The sequence below is a fragment of the Homo sapiens genome, chromosome 5 (genome assembly GCF_000001405.40).
Source record: "Homo sapiens chromosome 5, GRCh38.p14 Primary Assembly".
Lineage (NCBI taxonomy): Eukaryota > Metazoa > Chordata > Mammalia > Primates > Hominidae > Homo > Homo sapiens.
The window spans coordinates 155,392,888-155,409,314 of NC_000005.10; the positions used below are offsets into that span (position 1 = coordinate 155,392,888).

The 16,427-nt window shown below is 40.8% G+C and overlaps 1 pseudogene; it reads left to right on the forward strand.

Moving 5' to 3' along the window:
• On the forward strand, positions 5,052–6,086 carry LOC100130088 (STN1, CST complex subunit pseudogene; annotated as a pseudogene).

Below are 16,427 nucleotides of genomic sequence, written 5' to 3' on the forward strand. Positions count from 1 at the left end.
CAGAGGGAAGGCAGAGGACAGGCAGGGGGAAGGAGACAGGAGTACCCAGGGTCAAAAACATCCTTCCTCTTGCCAAAGTTCTCTCGAGCCAAATATATATATATATATACACACACACACACACACACACACACACACACACACACACACATATACATATATATACATATATATATATATTTGGCTCAAGAGAGTGTGTATATATGTATACACATATATACATATATATACGTGTATATATATACGTGTGTGTGTATATATATATATATATATATATTTAATTTTTTCTCAGAAATTGTATTTTCTAAAATAATACCAGGCTTATTGTCTGAGTCTGTAGAAACAGAAACACATGTTTTCATGTTGCCACATGTAATAGAAAATTAGTGGTGAAACGAAGGGAAAGGAGAGAGGAAGGGAAAGGAGGTCCAAAGGCAGAAGAGAGAGAGAGAAAGGGTGGAGAAGAGCTGAAAAAGAGGAAGAGGACAAGAGAGGAGGTGAAAACCAGGAGACACATCAGCTGAAAGTTTGGGGAATGTCCTTAGAAAGCAGGATTTGCAATTCAATAGCTGCCCACTCCTGTTCTGTCTCTTTCCCCCCTTCATCCACCTCTCAGACTCTATTCTAACTATATTACAGGACCTTTCAGTTGCTTCATCTCTCCTCATGTATTTCTCTGAGTAGCAATAATAGATGAATGACAAGAACTACCAACCTACTTCCAAGGTAAAGATTGGAAACTGCCTTTCTGTAAGTGAGAAAAATTTTTAGATTAACCTGTCCGCCTATATGAACTCTTATGTTCCTGTTATAAACATTACCTGGAGCTGGAAAGAGAAAACAAAGACTAGAAAGATGGAGTGCTAAGAGCCTGCTCATTTTGTAGATGGCGAGATGGAGGTGCAGAAAAGAGCTGCGACCTGTAAAGAATTACAGAGCGAGGAGGTGCCAGGGCTGAGAGCGGCACACAAGTCACCCATTGCCTAGTCCTAATGAGACACATTCACAAGGACAAGAAAAAGCATTTCACATTTCAACAGTTACATACATACAGCAATATGTGTTAGTGAAATTAGCATATCACATCCATGACTTGAGGGACATTATTGCTTAGGGCAAGGCTAAATTATGTATCTGTGTTTAAAATGTGAGTCAGTTTAAGGAAAAATATTAGGTAAATAATGCAACCGTTGATACTTGTGTTACTGATGACTCCTGGCTGGATCTTAAATTACTGAGAGAGACTATGTTTCTAGCCCTTCAGTAAGAAAAAAAGAAATCCATCCAGCTTGCAAACCTCCTGAGCCCCCTCTGAAAAGTCAAACAGCTCACCTTGTGGCACCTCCTCCCCTCCCGGAATAAGCCAGGGAAATGAGAGTTGGGTATTCAAAGGAGTCAGACAAGCATAATATCATATATACACTCAACATCCATCTCCTGTATGAAACCTCATTGTTCCTCTGTAACAAAAAGTAAATATTTACCATGAGCCAGGAGAGGTAGTGAATGATCAGCCTCTGGGCCATCAATCACCATGAGCCATGCTCCAATTTTAATAACCCTCGTAAGAGAGGGCAGGCAAGGATGGCAAAGACTGTCCAGGAGATAAGAGTTTGTCAGAGGAGTCAAATCGCTCAGAGTGGAAGAATATGAGGTGAATTGTTCAAGCGTGCAGACTGTGAAGGTCCCTAAAGATGGGTTTATAAAGTTGAGGCAGCAGGACAGAGTGGTTAGGAGCACAGCCTCTGCAGCTAGACTACCTGCTCCTCCACTTATCAGCTGAGGGAGCCTGGACATGACAATTTCCCGGGGGGCCTTTACTACATCTGTGCAGTGGGGATAATAAGAGGATCCACTTCATAGGGTTGCTGTGTGGACAAAATGAGTTCCTGCAGGCAAAATGCTTATAACAGCAGGAGCCTAGGAAGTGCTCAGCAAATATGTCTAGGGTGTCAGGAGGTAGAAGCCTTTCTTGGCTGTAAGAAGATGGCCAGGAGGGTGGTTACTCAATCTCTGTTAGCCATGGTGCACTCAGCAGTCCAGGAGTTCAATTGAGCTGATTTAGAATTTATGTAATTGTTCAAGCTCATGTGGCCAGTAGGTGGTAGAGCCAGGATTTGAACCTAAACAGTCTGTCTCCAGAGTTTATGGGCTCAATCATTGTGCTATGTCACCTCTCTTCAGTGAAGAAGAGATCACAACACATTTGTTGTTGGTTTTTTTTTTTTTAAATTCTTTTTGCTGCTATTCACCCTTTCCTCTTTCAGATGTAGGAACTGACTAATTCTCCAAGGGAAAGGTAAATTACTCAAGTGAAAATAAAAGCGCCAAAGTTCAGAAAACTTAACGTTCTAGCCCCAAGTGGAATGGCTGGAGGAATTGGGAATGATTACACCTGGAGTGGGATTTTTTGGGCAGAGGATGAGTCTTTGTGTACTGAGGACAGCTATGGTGAAAAGAACCTAGCCTGTTCTCCATGGCTGTAGAGACCCAACTGCACTGAATGAGAGGTTATCCAGAAAGAAATTCTGGTTCAGTGTTAAGACAGAACATTCCAGAAGATATCACATAGTGGCTGCAGTGAACTGAATGCTTGTGTCTTTCTAAAATTCATATGTTGAAATCCTAACTCCCAATGTGATGATGCTAGGAAGTGGAGCCTTTGGAAGGTAATTAGGTTGTCAAGGTGGAGCCCTCATTAATGGGATTAGTGCACTTATAAAAGGGACCCCAGAGAGTTCCCTGGCTCTCTTTCCACCATGTGAAGATGCAAGAAGGCAGTCATCTGCAATCTGGAAGATATTCCTCACTAGAATCTGACCATGCTGACACCATGATTTCTGACATCCAGCCTCCAGAACTGTGAGAAACACATTTCCGTTGTTTATAAGCCACGTGGTTTATAGCATTTGTTATAGCAGCCCAAATAGACTAAAGGCAATGGCTGAGAACTTAAATTCAAGTCAGACAAATTCTACCTCCACCACTTACTATTTGTGTGACCATAGGCAATTACGTAGTCTCTCTGAGCCTCCAGTTCTTCATCGCAAAATAAAGAGAAGGGCTTAGTGGTATGCGTCTCCTAAGACCAATATTATCTTTAAATGAAATAGAGCAAGTAAAAAAGGTTAGCACAGCACTTGGCTTATAATAATCCCACAATGCATGTTGACTGTAAAACTGGTGTAGATTATGAGCAAATGGAAACATTTCTCTGAGTAAAGAGGACTCTTTCTTCATATTTTATTCCTCTCTAGATGCTTTTTATGTTTAAAATATTTTTGGAAGATCATTTATCCATCCTTCTATTCATTTAGTGAATAGACGTTTCCTGAGCACCAACTAGTTGTAATGCTCTGAGGGCAGAGCATGAGAATATTGAAACAGTGTGCTTATATTCCAATGAAGGAGGCAGGCATGAAGAAATAATTACCCAATTCATCATTTAACTATAATTATAATATATGCTGTGAAGGATAATTCTAGAGCCACCACCAGAACATTTAACAAAGGGACTGATCTAGCTTTGGCAGGGACATCATGGGGCCCTCCAAGGAAGTAAGTTTTGAGCCAGGTCACCTCAATGCGATGCTGTGATTTGTAGCCAAAGTTCTGTGTGAACCCACAGAAGGCAGTTATTAGGAAGTCTTAGATGACCCAGGAAAGTGTCACAAATGATTGGATTTGAGCTAGGTCATGAAGGATAAGGAACATTTCCCTAGGAAGAGAAAGGAAAGAAGAATGTTTGTTGTACAGGACTTTGTAAAGACTTGGAGGAAATCTCAGAACAGGGACTCAGATAATATTAATTTTGTTTTGAGCAGACAGTATTAGCAAAAATTCAATTAAAACCTATTCTTTAAAGATTTTCACTGCAGTGTTATTTATCAAGAAAAATTGGAAATAACTATAAAAATAATTGTCTAACAGTTGTGGAAATTTAAACTAAATTAAGCCCAACAGGACTTTCTACATAATACTACAAATATATTAAATATATTCTTCAAGAGCCTGTGATAACAAGGGAAATCTTATTTAAAGTACCAAGGGAAAATAGAGAGATATAAAATTGCAGTTATCATGTGAGCACAACCATATTATTTCAACCTATGAATATTATTCTGAGAAACAGAAAAGGAAATAAATATAGAAAAATTATATCAGCTTATTTTAAAGTATAGAAAGTTTTTTTCAATTTGTATTTTTAAAATTTTAATTTTTTTTTTGAGAAAAGGTCTCGCTATGTCGCCCAGGCAGACCCACCCACTGTGCTTCAACACATGCATGGCCAGGAAGGTGCCCATTCCTCCCTGGACCCCACCCGTTTAAAGCAGTTTCAGCATCCTTGACACAGTGATGCAGAACCTTTCAGGATTTGCTGGAAGCCACAGCCCAGCCTCTTGATGCAAACTGAATTCAGCCAGTGTGTGAAGAGAAGACCCTTTCCCTTGTGTGGAGTTTGAATCCCGTGTTCCTAGCCTTTGCAAAGCTCTACATTAAGTCTATATCCTGCTCTTGAAGGAGTCCTGACGGGTGCCAGGTGTATTTTTGTGCAATGGGAACCAATAAAACAGGTGTATCTTGGGAACTGCCATTGGAGTGAGAGAAAGAGAGGTTTTCTACAGTTGTAGAGTAGATGATAGCACTTGTATTAGGCTGTTCTGGCATTGCTATAAAAAATAAATAACCGAGGCTGGGTAATTTATAAAGAAAAGAGATTTAATTGGCTCATGGTTCTGCAGGTTTTGCAGGAAGCATGGTGCTGGCAGCTGCTCGGCTTCGATGGAACCCTCAGGAAGCTTACAGTTGGTGGAAGGTGAATGGGGAGCAGGTGTATCACAGGATGAAAGCAGGAGCAAGGGAGAGAGAGTGGCTGGGGAAGGGTCACACTTTTAAATGACCAGATCTTGCAAGAACTCACTATCATGAAGACAGCACCAAGCCATGAGGGATCTGCACCCATAATCCAAACACCTCCTACCAGGCCCCACCTACATTGGGGATTACAATTCAACATGATATTTGGGCAGGGACACATATCTAAACTATATCAGCACTGGAGTTATAAACTGCATCTGCTAGAAAATATTGAGCAATATCAAGTTTTCATCCGCTGCTCCAAATGCAGCAAGAGAACTGAGCTTTACCTCAATACTCAAGAAGCTGCAAGACACCATTGAGCAGAGAACAAAAATTGAAACTGGGGACATGTTCTGAATCAGAGGCTATGTCTACATGTGCAGAGAAGAGTGACAAATTTATGCCACTGCTTATTATAAAGTGGACGATCCAGTGTGGAACATTCAAATTGCAAGGGTGTTTGAGCTGCCCATTAATCTACAGGAAAGTTTAGACCAAGCCTTTCCATTGCCCAGACTTAGAGAAAGAAGAAGCACTAAGCAATCCAGGTGTCCTGGCCTTCACTAGTCTCATGTGTTTGCTGAGTGAAAAAGCCAAAGAATTCCCCATAAAGAACAGAGTGCAGAACTTTGACCAGCAGGAGTTGGAAATGGTGGAGCCTTTGCTGTCCCTTGCTAACCAGCCTGTTACTGACAGTGCCTGCTCTGAACAAGGAAATTTTAAGAAGGATATCACTTTCAAGGCAATTTATAGCATATTTTAAAATGCTATTCAACAGCTGCAGGAAAAAGGACTCGTTTTCCAGAAAGATGGTGGTTTTGATAACCTATGCTGTGTAACCAGAAAAGACAAAGACCTGTATAGGAAAATCCACTGGATAATTCAGGAAGACTACCAGAAACCAAATCACCCGAAGAAGGGCTGCCACTTCCTGCACATCTTGGCCTGTGCTCACCCTGAGCATCTGCCCGGTTCTAGTTAGGGCTATGTTGCAGCAAGTTCTGGAGCTCCTGGAGGACCAGAGTGACCTCATCAGCACAATGGAGCACCACTACTCCTGAGCAGTGGCCTTCTACTCCTGGCCTTCTGAGCAGACACCTGAGCACGTGCATACCAGCCAAGGAGGAGAAAGACAAGGTAGGATTCAACCTCAGGCTCTGATTTTAAACATCATGTGGGGCTTATATGCCTGGAAGCAGTTACCTCCTTATAAACTTATAAAATATGACAAAACACCACCACCACCAAAACTCCTGGGCTCAAGCCATCATCCTGACTCAGCCTCTGGAGTCTCTGGGACTACCGGTGTGTGCCACAACATCCAGCTTACGTGCTAAGTTTTCTATAAGAAGAATGTATTATTGATTTTGTGGATGGTGGAAATAAATAACTTTTCCTTTCTTTCTTTTTATGGGAAAGCTCTCCTGATCAACTTTACCTAACAGGAAAACATCTACCAATATCATTTCCTCTGCTGAGGCGAAGCTTGACAGGCATCAATTATTCACTCTAACATTTAAAGATTTGTTTAGAATGAAAAAAAAAAAAATCTTTGGCGTGGCGCAGTGGCTCTTGCCTATAATACTAGCACTTTAGGAGGCCGAGGCAGGTGGATCACCAGAGGTCAGGAGTTCAAGACCAGCCTGGCCAACATGGTGAAACCCCGTCTGTACTAAAAATACAAAAAAATTAGCCGGGCATGGTGGCGGGCACCTGTAATCCCAGCTACTCAGGAGGCTGAGGTAGGAGAACTGCTAGAACCCTGGGGCGGAGATTGCAAGTGAGCTGAGATCGCACCATTGTACTTCAGCCTGGGCGACAGAGCAAGACTCTATCTGCAAAAAAAAAAAAAAAAAAAAAAAAAAAAATCTTTGAGGGATCATCAGTTAAACCACTCAATCCTGAAATCCTGTATGAGATTAGCTGTACAAGGCTGACCTGACACTAAAGAAGTAGAACACAGAGCAGGCAAGTTTTGACAGAGGAGAAAGAAAGTTCATTTTGGAGAACAGGGGAGACAAAGAATATATGAAATGATTGAGGATAATAAAGCTCCAGGAAAGAAAGAAGATGTCACAGAAAAAAAAAAGAGATAAATAAAAAGAAACAGAAAATTATAGGCAATAAAATTCCTTAGTTTGACAAACTTGGATCAGGTTCCCCACTCTACATAAATTCTCCAGCCCTCTAAGCAGGTTTGCCCATTCATGAGTTGGTCTGCCTGTCTGTCTCTGTGTCTTCATCTTTGTGTGTAAGTGTATGTGTGGGTGTGTGCACGTGCCCCCTCTTTGTTTTCTCATATATTGCAGATAATGACTTAATTTTCTTGGCTAACAACTGATTTATAGTCAGAAGTGTTTGGGTGTCTTTGCAATCACAAACTGCTCTGCCAGTCCAGGATAAGGCCAAGCAGGGTACAGTGGTGCCAGTTATCAGGCAAGGCAGGAGGTCGGGCAATTGCTCACCATTCATTCAATTGAACAGTCTAGAACCTGGAGGTCATCTTCCTCTCCTTTTTCCCCCTCATGGCTCACATCCTATCATTTCAAAGTCCTGCCTAATGATCCTCAATCCCTTTCTCTCTGTCTTTACTACTGCCACCTTAGCTCAGATTATCAGTGGTCCCCTGATGGGACTCCCAGGATCAAATCAATTATCCACATAGAAGCCAAGGTCATATTTCTAAACACAAATCCATCATACCACTTTGTACTCCTGTTTAAAGCTCTTGTGAGGCTCCCATTGGGCTCAGGATAATGGACCCAGCCTGTGGTTCTCAAGGGGCTCCAGCAATTCTTTCTGCATGTTTTCTGCCTCATATCCAAGTCTCCAACCCCACCCTGTATTTATCCAGATGCCGTGGGCATCTTTCCGATCTCTAAACCTACCAAGCCCTTTCATGCCTTTGCATATGCTGTTTCTCTGCCTGGAACCTTCTTCTCTACCCCTTGATTACTCCTCTGAAGAAAATCCTGGCCAGGTGCGGTGGCTTATGCCTGTAATCACAGCACTTTGGGAGGCCGAGGCGGGAGGATTGCTTGAGCCCAGGAGTTCAAGGCCAGCCTGGCCAACATGGTGAAACCCTGTCCCTACAAAAAATACAAAAATTAGCCAGGTGTGGTGGCCCATGACTGTAATCCCAGCTACTCAGGAGGTGGAGGCAGGAGAATCTCTTGAACCCAGGAGGTGGAGGTTGCAGTGAGCTGAGATCACATCACTGCACTACAGCCTGGGTGACAGAGCAAGACTCTGTCACAAAAACAAAACAAAACAAAACAAAACAAAACAAAACAGCCAGCATGGTGGCGTGTGTTTCAGGAGGCTGAGGTGAGAAGATCGCTTGAACCCAGGAGGTCAAGGCTGCAGTGAGCCAAGATTGCACCGCTGCACTCTAGCCTGGGTGAGAGTGACAGCCTGTCTCAAAAATAAATAAATAAATAGGCCAGGCACAGTGCCTCACGCCTGTAATCCCAGCACTTTGGGAGGCCGAGGTGGGTGGATCACCTGAGGTCAGGAGTTTGAGACCAGCCTGGCCAACATGGTGTAACCCCGTCTTTACTAAAAATACAAAAAATTTAGCCAGGTGCAGTGGCGCATGCCTGTAGACCCAGCTACTTAGGAGGCTGAGGCAGGAGAATCGCTTGAACTTGGGAGGTGGAGGTTGCAGTAAGCCGGGATTGTATCACTGGATTGCACTCCATACTGGGTGACAAAGCAAGACTCTGTCTCAAAAAAAATAAAATAAAATAAAGTAAAATAAATACAATAAAAATAATTAAATACCTATTAAATACCTAATTCAACTCACCATGGTGAACCTCCCAAGTTTGTTCTTAAGACTTCCTACTCCTACCAATGTGCCCACTATTTGAGGATGTGAACATTTGGGTATTTGGGTTCACTTCTGGTGAATAAATAGCATTTTGCACCCTGTTCTCACCCTTTTTTTTTTTTTTTTTTTTTTTGATGGCGTCTCGCTCTGTTGCCCAGGCTGGAGTGCAGTGGCTCCATCTTGGCTCACTACAAGCTCCGTCCACCGGGTTCATTCCATTATCCTGCCTCAGCCTCCCAAGTAGCTGGGACTAAGGTTTCCTGCCACCACGCCTGGCTAATTTTTTGCACCTTTAGTAGAGACGGGGTTTCACCGCGTTAGCCCGGATGGTCTCGATCTCCTGACCTCGTGATCCGCTACAGGCATGAGCCACCGCGCCTGGCTCACCTTTCTAATCCATGTTGTTCTTGCTCCTGTGGAAATTAGTCCCAGCTACAAGGGAGGCTTAGGTAGGAGAATCATATGAGCCCAGGGGAGGTAGAGGCTGCAGAGAGCTGTGATCATGCCACTGCTCTGTAGCTTGGGCAACAGAGTAAGATCCTGTCTCAAAACAGAAACAAAAGAAAGAAAAGAAAATCTTTCTCTGACCTTAGAGGCCAGGTTAGACTTTGTTAACACACGCTCCCATAGTATCACTCTTGACGGCAAATGCTTGTTTAATTGTCTGTTGTCTCCCCAATAGCCCATAAGTTGGATGATTTGTCTGTTGATGTGTCTTTAATGCCTAGAAAAATGCTAGGAAGGCACTAAAGAACCATGTGCTGGTTGAATGAATGAATGAAGGAAGAAACAAATAAAAATGACTGGATTCTACAGGATAAGAAGAGGAAAAAGCACACCTACCACCATGCTACTGAATCCTTGGTGAGACTGACAAGGACATTCCCTCCTGCTTCCTGGTATAGTTGTCGTCTGGCTTCTCGTTAATGGCTGTCCTTCATTTCCCTAGTTTCTTAACTCATCACCTCTGCTTTCCAACTTAGAGACCCTGTGATCAAGCTTGATGTTTTTTGGAGCAGTTCATCATTTCAGAAAATTGCCACAGTTGAATCCCACTCAGTTCTCATCTTTATCCTCCACCCCCTACTTATTAGAGAATTTACCGGATGAATTGTACTACATTAATGGACTGAAATATTTTATTTTACTACTAGGAAATTAGACTTCCAGGCCTGAGCACAAATGCTTTATCAGAAAAACAGTATCTTAGGAGGACTTTTATTTATTTTTTTTAGTTAAAGGACTATCAAAGCATTTTCTACGCAAAAACTCCACTGCAGGATAGGGTTGGAAAATGGCAGATAGGAGGCAGGACTAATTTGCAGCTCCCACTCGGATGAACAGAGGAGCATGTGGAGACCCACACTGTGAACTTTTGCTCCAAGAACTACCACAGGAACATACCAGGAAAGCCAAGAGAATCACAGGCCCTTTGAAGGAGGTAGATTGCTGTTGCAGACTCCATGGGACAATAGAGGAACTGTGAGTTGGCTTGCTTTCTCAGCTAGGAGGCTTGTAGCCTGAGGCAAGTTCTCAGCTCTGCTCACCAGCTGCCTGGAAATAAACTCAGTGCTATTGCAGGGGCATGGTGGGAGTGAGACCAGCCTTTGGAGCTGGTAGCTGCGTGGGAGCTGGGTGAGGCCTATGGCTGCCAGCTTTCCCCCACTTCACCAGTGACCTGTGTGATACAGCAGAGGCAGCCATAATCCTCTTGGGAACATAACTCCATTGGCCTGAAAACCACAGCTCCATCCCCCACAGCAGCTGCAGCAGGCCCCGCCCAAGGAGAATCTGAGCTCAGACATGCCTAACCCTGTCCTCACCTGATGGTCTTTCTCTACCCACCCTGGTAGCATAAGACAAATGACACAGTCCTTTGGCAGCTCTACGGCTCCGCCCACTGCCTGGCCCTAGGGCAAGCTTGAATCCTCCCTACACAATGGCAGTGGATGCGTTCTTGAAAGCACCACCTCCTGGCTGGAGGCCAATAAACACAAACCCAGGGCACATAACAAAAATATGACCAAGGACTCTCACAGAGTCCACTTCACTCCCCTGCTGCCTCCACCGGAGTAGGTGCTGGTATCTATGGCTAAGAGATCTGAAGATGGATCACATCACAGGATTCTTTGCAGACACTCCCCATTACCAGCCTGGAGCCTGGTAGCTCTGCTGGGTGGCTAGATCCGGAAGAAAAATAACAACCACTGCAGTTCAGTTTTCAGGAAGCCCTATCCCTAGGGGAAGGGAGAGAGCATCACATCAAGGGAGCACCTCATGGGACAAAAGAATCTGAACAGCAGCCCTTGAGCCCCAGATCTTTCCTCTCACATCGTCTAATCAAATGAGAAGGAACCAGGAAAACAATTCTGGTAATATGACAAAACAAAGTTATTTAATACCCCCAAAAGATCACACTAGCTCACCAGCAGTGGATCAAAACCAAGACAAAATCTCTGAATTGCCAGAAAAAGAATTCAGAAGGTCAAATATTAAGCCAATCAATGAAGCCCCAGAGAAAGATGAAGTCCAACTCAAAGAAATAAAAAAAAAAAATAGATACAAGATGTTAATGGGAAATCTCCAGTGAAATAGAAAGCAAAAGTAAAAAACAATCACTTCTGGACATGAAGGACACACTTAGAGAATTGCAAAATGCACTGGAAACTCTCAGCAATAGAATCAAACAAGTAGAAGAAAGAACTTCAGAGCTCAAGGACAAGACTTTCAAATTAACCCAGTCTGACAAAGACAAAAAGAATTTAAAAAATGAAAGCCTCCAAGAAGTTTGGCATTATGTTAAAACAACTAAACCTGAGAATAATTGGTGTTCCTGAGGAAGAAGAGCAGTCTAAAAGTTTGGAAAACATATTCGAGAGAATAATTGAGGAAAACTTCCCCAACCTTGGTAGAGATCTAGACATCCAAATACAAGAAGCTCAAAGAACACCTGGGAAATTCATCACAAAAAGATAATCACTTAGGCACATCAGGTTATCTAAAGTCAAGACAAAGGAAAAATCTTATGAGCTGTAAAGCAAAAGCATCAGGTAACCTATAAAGGAAAACCAGGCAGACTAATAGGAAATTTCTCAGCAGAAACCCTACAAGGTAGAAGGAATTGGGGTCCTATCTTTAGCCTCCTTAAACAAAACAATTATCAGCCACAAATTTTGTATCTGGCAAAACTAAGCTTCATAAATGAAGGAAAGAAGGTCTTTTTCAGACAAACAAATACTGAGAGAATTTGCCACTACTAAGCCAGCACTATGAAAACTGCTGAAAGGCGCTCTAAATCTTGAAACAAATCCTCAAAATACAATAAAATAGAACCTCCTTAAAGCATAAATCTCACAGGACCTATAACACAACAACAAAAGCAAGAGATTGAGGCAACAAATAACACAATGAATAGTACCTCACATCTCAATACTAATGTTGGTTGTAAATGGCCTAACAGCTCCACTTAAAAGATACAGAATGGCAGAATGGATAATTCACCAACCAAGTATCTGTTGTCTTCTAGAAACTCACCTGACACATAAGGACCCACATAAACTTATGGTAAAGGGGTAGAAAAAGATACTCCATGCAAGTGGACACCAAAAGTAAGCAAGAGTAGCTATTCTTACATCAGAGAAAACAAACTTTAAAGCAACAGCAGTTAAAAAAGACAAAGAGGGACATTATATAATGATAAAAGGAATAGTCCAAAAGGAAAATATCACAATTCTAAATATATGTGCATCTAACATTGGAGCTCCCAAATTTATAAAACAATTACTACTAGACCTAAGAAATGAGATAGACAGCAACACGATAATAGTGGGGAACTTTAATACTCCACTGACAGCACTAGACAGGTCCTCAAGACAGAAAGTCAGCAAAGAAACAAGGGGTTAAAACTGTTCCCTAAAACAAATGGACTTAACAGGTATTTACAGAACATTCTACCCAACAACTGCAGAATATACATTCTGTTTATCAGCACATGGAACATTCTCCAAGATAGACCATATGATAGGCCACAAAACAGGTCTCAACAAATTTAAGAAAATCGAAATTATATCAAGTACCCTCTCAGATCACAGTCAATAAAATTGGAAATTAACTCCATAAGGAACCCTCAAAACCATGCAAATACATGGATATTAAATAACCTCCTCCTGAATGATCATTGGGTCAACAATGAAATCAAGATGGAAATTAAAACATTCTTTGAACTGAACAATAATAGTGACACAACCTATCAAAATCTCTGGGATGCAGCAAAGGCAGTGCCAAGAGGAAAGTTCATAGCCTTAAATGCCTATATCAAAAAATCTGAAAGCACAAATAGACAATCTAAGGTCACACCTCAAGAACTAGAGAAACAAGAACAAACCAAACCCAAATCCAGCAGAAGAAAGGAAATAACCAAGATTAGAGCAGAAGTAAATGAAAGTGAAACAAACAAACAAAAACAATACAAAAGGTAAATGAAACAAAAAACTGGTTCTTTGAAAAGATAAATAAAATTGATTGACCATTAGTGAGATTAACCAAGAAAGGGAGAGAGAAGATCCAAATAAGCTCAGTTAGAAATGAAACAGGAGCGATTACAACTGATACCACAGAAATACGAAAGATCATTCAAGGCTACTATGCACAACTTTATGCACATAAACTAGAAAACCTAGAGGAATTGGATAAGTTCCTGGAAGTACACAACCCTCCTACGTTAAACCAGAAAGAAATAGAAACTCTGAAGAGACCAATAACAAGCAGCAAGATTGAAGTGGTAATCAAAAAGCTACCAACAAAAAAAAGTCCAGGACCAGATGGATTCACAGCTGAATTCTATGAGACATTCAAAGAAAAATTGGTACCAATCCTAGTGACACTATTCCAAAAGATAGAGAAAGAGGATTGTATGAAGCCAATATCACCCTAATTCCCAAACCAGGAAAGGACATAACAAAAAATAAAGAAAACTACAGACCAATATCACTGATGAACATAGATGCAAAAATCCTCAACAAAATAGTAGCTAACCAAATCCAACAGCATATCAAAAAGATAATCCACCATGATCAAGTGGGTTTCATACCAGGGATGCAGAGATAATTTACTATATGCAAGTCAATAAATGTGATACACCACATAAACAGAAATAAAAACAAAAATTACATGATCATCTCAATAGACACAGAAAAAGCATTTGACAAAATTCAGCATCCCTTTATGATTAAAACCCTCAGCAAAATCAGCATAGAAGTGACACGCCTTAAGGTAATAAAAACCATCTAAGAGAAACCGACAGCCAACGTTATACTGAATGGGGAGAAGTTGAAAGCATTCCCCCTGAGAACTGGAACAAGACAAGAATGCCCACTATCACCACTTCTATTTGACACAGTACTGGAAGTCCTAGCCAGAGGACAAGAGAAAGAAATAAAGGGCATCCAAATCAGTAAAGAGGAAGTGAAACTGTCGCTGTTTGCTGATGACATGATTGTATACCTAGAAAACCCTAAAGACTCATCTTAAAAGCTCCTAAAACTGGTAAATAAATTCAGCAAAGTTTTAGAATACAAAATTATTGTACACAAATCAGTTGCCCTGCTATACACTAACAGCAAACAAGCTGAGAATCAAATCAAGAACTCAACCCCATTTACAATAGCTGCAAAAAAAAAAAAAAAAAAAAAAGGAATACATTTAAGCAAGGAGGTGAAAGATCTCTACAAGGAAAGCTACAAAACACTGCTGAAAGAAATCATAGACCACACAAACAAATGGAAACACATCCTATGTTCATGAATGGGTAGAATCAATACTGTGAAAATGACCATACTACCAAAAGCAATATACAAGTTCAATGCAATTCCCATCAAAATACCACCATCATTCTTCATGGAACTAGAAAAAATAATCCTAAAATTCATATGGAACCAAAAAGAACTTACATAGCCAAAGCAAGACTAAGCAAAAAGAACAAATCTGGAGGCATTACATTACCTGACTTCAAACTATACTGTAAGGCTATATTCACGAAAATAGCATAGTACTGGTATAAAAATAAGTATGTAGACCAATGAAACAGAATAGAGAACCCAGAAACAAAGGGATACAATACTACACATTGGGTACAGTGTACACTGCTCAGTGATGGGTGCACCAAAATCTCAGAAATTACCATTAAAGAATGTATTCATGTAACCAAACACCACCTGTTCCCCAAAAACTTGTTGAAGTAAAAAAAAAAAAATCCAGTTGTGCCCTATCCAATATAACAATCACTATCCACATGTATTATCAAGCACTTGAAATGTGGAAAGTGAGAATTAACAAGTGCTATAAGTGTAAAATATTTTATACTATATTTGAAAGACTTAGTATGAAAAAGAGAATGTAAAATATTAATAGTTTTAAATATACATTACATGTTAAGATGATAATATTTCACGCACATTGGATTAAATTTATTCTGTTTCTTTTTACTTATTAAAAAAAAACTCCACTGCAAACTGATCTTACTTTCTGGGTTTGGGGAATGCTCTGAGGTCAGACTAGCTCACACCTTGGATGTGATAAGGATTCCTTGGAAGGACTCTGGATAGACCAGTGCTACCTTAAGTGTGGTCTGTGAACTAGTTTGCAGTGCCCTTAAGACAGAAACTGAGAGTAAGCATCTATATAAACTTATGGTAAGTTAACATTGTCACAGTGTTTTTATTGTATTTTACAAAACTATCAGTCTGCAACAGATTAGAAATTTAAAAACAAATAAACAGAAAAACTGAGTTCTTCACTATGGATAGTTTGGGAAGCATTGGGATAGACAAGTCTAAGAATGCATTCACTGCCAATATCTTCCATTAGTTCCCCTAACTTTTGTGAATCTGTATTTCATAGTTAGTCATGCTCATCAAAAAGAGAAGCTCTATAAGAGCCAGATTTAGCCAATTCAGGATAATTCGAAGAATAAAAAATATTAGAGTGTACACCGGTCAAACAGTAATGCAGGTGTTCTAAGGCAAGCTCAGGGAGGACAGAAACCTCGCATGGGGCATTAGGGAAAAAGTTCACTTGATCTTGATTTTCAGTATGAATACAGACCTTGAAAGCAGGGCCTCATGATCCTTCTGACCTTTTGGGTTTCAAGCAGATGTCAGAAAAGTGACTACAGGAATAGCTGGCATGTGGTGGCCAAGCATTCATAGCAACATCACTTTGTGAAAAAATGAAATTAAAAAAATATTGATAGGGAAAAACGAGCCCCCCCGTGTCTTTCACAAATGTAATTATCCAAGGCTGCTCTGCCTCCTGATGTAAGGTCATGTAGTAATGCTCACAATCATTAATGGTCATGAAGCTCCACTATGCGTCAAGCCATTGAAGTCATTCATGTGCATTATTTAATTCTTAGAATTCTTTTGAGTAGGTATTATTGCAATATTCATTTTAAGAATAGGAAATTCGGACTAGTTAGTTTAATTAAATTGCACAAGATCACTCAGTGAGCAACTAGTGACATCCAGATTGGAGATTTAATCCCACATCTACAACAAGAGTCTAGTTTTGGTTCTTAACCCTAAACCTATACGTTCCTCTCCCATCCACGTCTTATTTTTTCATCTATATAACTGGCTTTTGTCATTCCAAAGAAACACCAAGGCAACTGCAGCATAAAATAACAGAAGCAACATTGAACTTGGAGTTAGCATAACTGGGTGCCAGACCCAGATTTGTT